Below are 5,059 nucleotides of genomic sequence, written 5' to 3'. Positions count from 1 at the left end.
GCGTCACCCAGGAAACCACATGCAGCCTTTAGGATGGAATGTGGAGCCCCCTGCATGGAGGTTTTCATGGCGCAGGCCTGGGAGAAGCACAGACCACTCTGCAGTAGTCCATTCCCAAGAACCGGTGCACATGTTGGAGGCGAGGTGAAAGGCAGCTGAGAAATGTGCAGGGCTCAGTGTCCCGGGGGCAGCCACCTCCGCAGGACAGGTGTGGGAGGGGGAGTGCGTCATTGCCTCCAACTGGGTTCTCTTCTCCACCACATGGCACAGAGTGGGCACTCAGCACATTGCTTAATGAATGAAACCCACTTCATTTCAGTGTCGTGACCCTGAGAGAGTTTCTTAAATATTTTCACATGCTGAAGCAACTGCAATTCTGGGGTCATTTGTGGAATACTATATTTATTGATGTAATTTTTCATTAAAATTATGTTATAATCATAAATATAAACAGTTTTTTAATTTTTAATTTTATTTTTTTCTAAAAAACTGATTAAAGTTTAATACATTAAAACCATGTAACACTTTTATATTGCATTGGCCATTTCTGAACAATACAAAGTAGAGGCAAATAGAGACACTTCATAATAATGTTGATTCCCCATTCCTTTCCTTAAGACCCAGCCCTCCCTCAAATATTCCCTCCCACCCATTACAGAACTCTATCCATAATAAAACACTTAAATACTTCATAAATAGTAAATTATGAAAAAATAGCAATAATTGTTTCTTTCCTTCTTGTAAAAAAGAACATGGCAACAGACAGGCAGCCAGAAACTGGCTGAGGGTGTCTAATATAGACAGTTATTTGGGGTATGGGCTAACCTACTATCAAGGTAGGGAAGGAGAAGGGATAGAACAGGAATTCAACAATCTGCCTGAGATACCAGGCCCCCTTCCTCCCCTAACAAGAGTGGAAGGATCAGATGGGAAACCACAACTCTTGTAGATGGGAGGAGAGGGCACATGCGGCCCCCATTTCCAACCTCCCTGCATGAAGACAGCGGGTAGGACACATGGCACAGCAATGACTTCACTGAGGCAAGAATCTGCTCTCTCCTCATGAGTTTAAGAAAATATCTGTGGCCGGGCGCGGTGGCTCACGCCTGTAACCCCAGCACTTTGGGGGGCCGAGGTGGGCGGATCACGAGGTCAGGAGTTGAGACCAGCCTGGCTAACATAGTGAAACCCCATCTCTACTAAAAACACAAAAAATTAGCTGGCCATGGTGGCAGGCACCTGTAATCCCAGCTACTTGGGAGGCTGAGGCAGGAGAATCGCTTGAACCCAGGAGGTGGAGGTTGCAGTGAGCCAAGATCGCGCCACTGCACTCTAGCCCAGGCGACAGTGTGAGACTGTTTCAAAAAGAAAAGAAAAGAAAATATTTGCTAGCCTCATAGATATGGACTGCCTGTTAAACAGACAGAGGTGTCTCTACCTTAGCTCCACAAGCAGGAGAGCACTGTTGGAAAAGATGGGAAGAGAAAAGAAATCTCCTCTGGAGAATGATCTAAAATTCATTTGATAGGTCTTCATATTTACAAAAACAACCGAATATATTTCAAATTGCAAAACAGTAATAATCATTACACCCTGGCAGTGAGTAGGATTCTGCCTAGGAAGGGCTATGATCTCCCAGCCCACGGCTGCCCCATGTTTTAAAAAAAGGGGTAAAGATTACCCCATGTCCCACTCTCTCCATTCCTCCAGCCTTAACAAATTCATCAAGAAAGGAGGAGTTTAAAGAGGAGCTGTCCTGGCAGAGCAATCACCACACTTCTCTTCACAAACACCATGGTTCTTCTGAGGGAATCTTATGACTAGGCATCTCGTCAACACTTTTGGGGTTTTGATCTGAAACTGGCTTGAAATTGCGTGCTGTGCGCATTTTTCCTTTATTCAGAATAAAAAGAAGAAAGTTGGGAGGTGGTTAAACACCCTTATCCCCTCAAAACCTTTACAGAGATTACAGGGATCTTCTTCCAGGGATCAGAGAGAAAGAACTGAGGTGGGTATAATGTGCCAGCTAGTCTGTCCTGAGGAAATTATGAGTCCAGCTCCTGGTGAAAGATGAGGGGAAAGAAAACTGCCAAGTCCAGCCATCCCATTCCCAGCATGAAGAATGGGGGTCTGAAAAAGCTCAATTGTGAAAGCCAAGGTTAGCCCATTGAAAATCCATCCACCCAATTCTGGAGTGGAGGGGTTGCTGCAGTCCTCAACTGTCTGAGGCACTAATGCCCATTCATGAGGAAGGGGAAAGAGACTAGGTTCTTCTTCAGGAAGAAGATGGAGAGCTCCCCTCGCTTCCATTACATTCCTTTTTAATGGGCAAGTAGAAGAAAACTCAGCATTGCTGGGGCAAGGGCTGACATCTTGGGATCACAGAGATGGCAGAATCTTGTTTCAGGTCTTCTGAGGCTTTGTGCTCAATGGGTGAACTCTTACTCTGCAATGTCAAGCTTTTCCAAGGTTGTACTTGTGGTTAGCATTTGCAAGGTCTCTCCAACTACAGGTGAGAAACTGGGGTCAGGAATAGGTAAACCCTCACTGATTTCCTCCAAAGGTGGAGTCTGAGGTAAAACATCAGGACAACCAAGGTGAACACCTGGCTCCACTTCCGCCTTTGTTGTGGTTTGTGCCTTGTGTTCCCCTGAGACCGATGGCTGGTAACACAGGAGTTGTCACTGGAGCCTGCTCGCCCAGAGAAAGATGAGCCAGACCGAAACTTTTTGGAAGGAGAAGGCTTCAAGGGGATCTTCTTCTTTTTTTGAGACAGGGTCTCACTCTTTTGCCCAGGCTGGAGTGCAGTGGTGCAATCTTGGCTCACTGCAACCTCTGCCTCCTAGGCTCAAGTGATTCTCCTGCCTTGGCCTACCAAGTAGCTGAGGTTACAGGCATGTGCCACTACCGCCCGGCTAATTTCTGTGATTTTAGTAGAGATGGGGTTTCACCATGTTGGCCAAGCTGGTCTTGAACTCCTGACCTCAGGTGATCCATCCGCCTTGGCCTCCCAAAGTCCTGGGATTACAGGTGCGAGCCACGGCACCTGGCCGGGATCTTCTTAAATGCTGTGTTGCACATGAAGCACTGGAACCGTTCAGTGTAGAAGCCTGGGCGATGCACTGAGACAGTGTCCCCATCACATACCAGGGCTTTCCAAGAATGCTCCAGCTTCTTAACAAACCTGTAAGACTGTAGAATGTCAGTGATGCCAATACAAAGCAGGATTCTTTCCCCCTCACTATTCTGGGCAGGGATGCCACCCATATGGTCATCAGTCTCCATGGGGCTGCCCCGTCAAGCCTCTCCCTGGGTGGATTCCATGGCTGTGGAATACAGAGCCCTTTGGGGGGCTGGTCTTCAAGTGTGAACTGAGCATTGTGTTTGGCTGCTCAAGGGCTCTCGTGCATGATCTATGTTGTGGATTGACATCAAGAGGCTATAGTCCATTATCTCAAAGATCTGCAGCACCAAACAGCCACGCTGCAGGGTCTTACAGAGAGCGTTGTACATGTTAGCATCCAAAAAAAAGACCATCGGGATGTCTTGTAAGAAGTCTAGGTTTTTAAATGTGGGAAAATGTGGGAAGAGGCTTCTCTTGCTCTTTCTGGGAAGCCTGCTCTTTGTAGGTTGAACTTTTGAAGTCATATTTGGTATGCATTTTGACCAGTCTTAGTAAGAGATTCTTCATCACCGCAATCTGCGTGTTCTTGCCACCTGCCTTCACACAGCACAGTCCATAGAATTTAGGCAGCAAAGTCCAAGAGTTCTGGTTGAGGTCGATGTGGTATCCTGGAATCAGCTTCTGCAGAAACTCCGCCTGTTTATGTTGGACTGTTTTAATAATGAATTCATCGTGGATGGACACATGTAACAGGGAACCATCAGCTCCAGAGCTACTGAGTTCAATCAGTGGCTCACTGCAGAGGGAGTACAAGTCATCATCAGGGCAGATACCAAATAGCTCCTGAAAGTAGCAGAAGGCAACAGGTGTATAGGTCTTGAAAGGAAACTCACTGCAGTGATGAGCAGGGGTCCCACTGGGAAAGAAGATATTCTCCACCACGCAGAAATCTTACATGAGGACATGACGCTCTGGTGTGGGATCCAGGCTCCCCACAGTGTGAGTAATGCACAACTGGATGGCACATTTCAAGGCTGATGAGGTCGTCTTTCTATAGGTTGTCTCTCCTGAGGAATCAACACCTCGATGGCCTATTTTCTTGATGGGTATGCCCGAGGCACAAGGCACCTCAGACGCCATAGGTCTCTGGATTCCAGATGCTGAGGACGAGGTACAGGAAGCGACCCCTGGATCAAAGGATGAAAAACTGACCGCCGAGGAGGCCCTGAGGAGACCGACGGCCATCTTGGCAGCCCCTCCCCTCAGCGGCCTGGCCTCTTTGAATCCGGCTTTTCCTCTGCTCGAATGGAATCTTCCTTCCCCAAGTCCCTTCACAGAACCCGCGTCTGGGCCACCTCCCCGCCGCCCCGCGGGCCCCCTCAGACGCGTGGAGCCGGCTCTAGACCAGCTCAGGGCCGCCCCATTCGCCTGGCCTGGGGAGAACTCCCGCCTCGCAGGCCCTTGGCGAGTTTACCCGCTCTCCGCAGGAGGCACTTTACTCTTTCACAGAAGACTAAGCCCCAGCTGGCTGCCGGGATCCGCGTCCGACCAAGTCACACCTGGAGAAAAAACGTGGCATGAGAAGCCCCAGCGGAGTGAACGCCCCCGCTCCGTCCTCCGGCCACGGCCTCTTTATGGCCCAACCCGGCCGCTCCACTCGGGTGGCCCAGAAAAATCCGACCACTGCGGTAACAGGTTTTATTATGAAATTACAATCATGAGCCTAGATATCCACTAAAAAGCAGTCAAATCGAACATAATCAATTTAATTAATTTAAATTAATGTTTATTCACTCATTCGCTGTCCATCTGGTCACACTTGCTCACACACTGGTAATAGCAAGCGCCAAAGGCTTAAGAAAAAATAGTGAGAGAAAAATAAAATTGAGATGCAATATGCAAATCACTTGCTCACTATGTGTTCCAAGGGAAGGA

General features: G+C 48.2%; 1 pseudogene; it reads right to left on the bottom strand.

Annotated features, from left to right (window-relative positions):
• Window positions 481–4,801, bottom strand: PIP5K1P2 (phosphatidylinositol-4-phosphate 5-kinase type 1 pseudogene 2; annotated as a pseudogene).

This window comes from Homo sapiens, chromosome 7, assembly GCF_000001405.40.
Source record: "Homo sapiens chromosome 7, GRCh38.p14 Primary Assembly".
Taxonomy (NCBI): Eukaryota; Metazoa; Chordata; class Mammalia; order Primates; family Hominidae; genus Homo; species Homo sapiens.
Note: the sequence above shows the minus strand (reverse complement) of the source record. Positions and strands in the feature narration are given on the sequence as shown.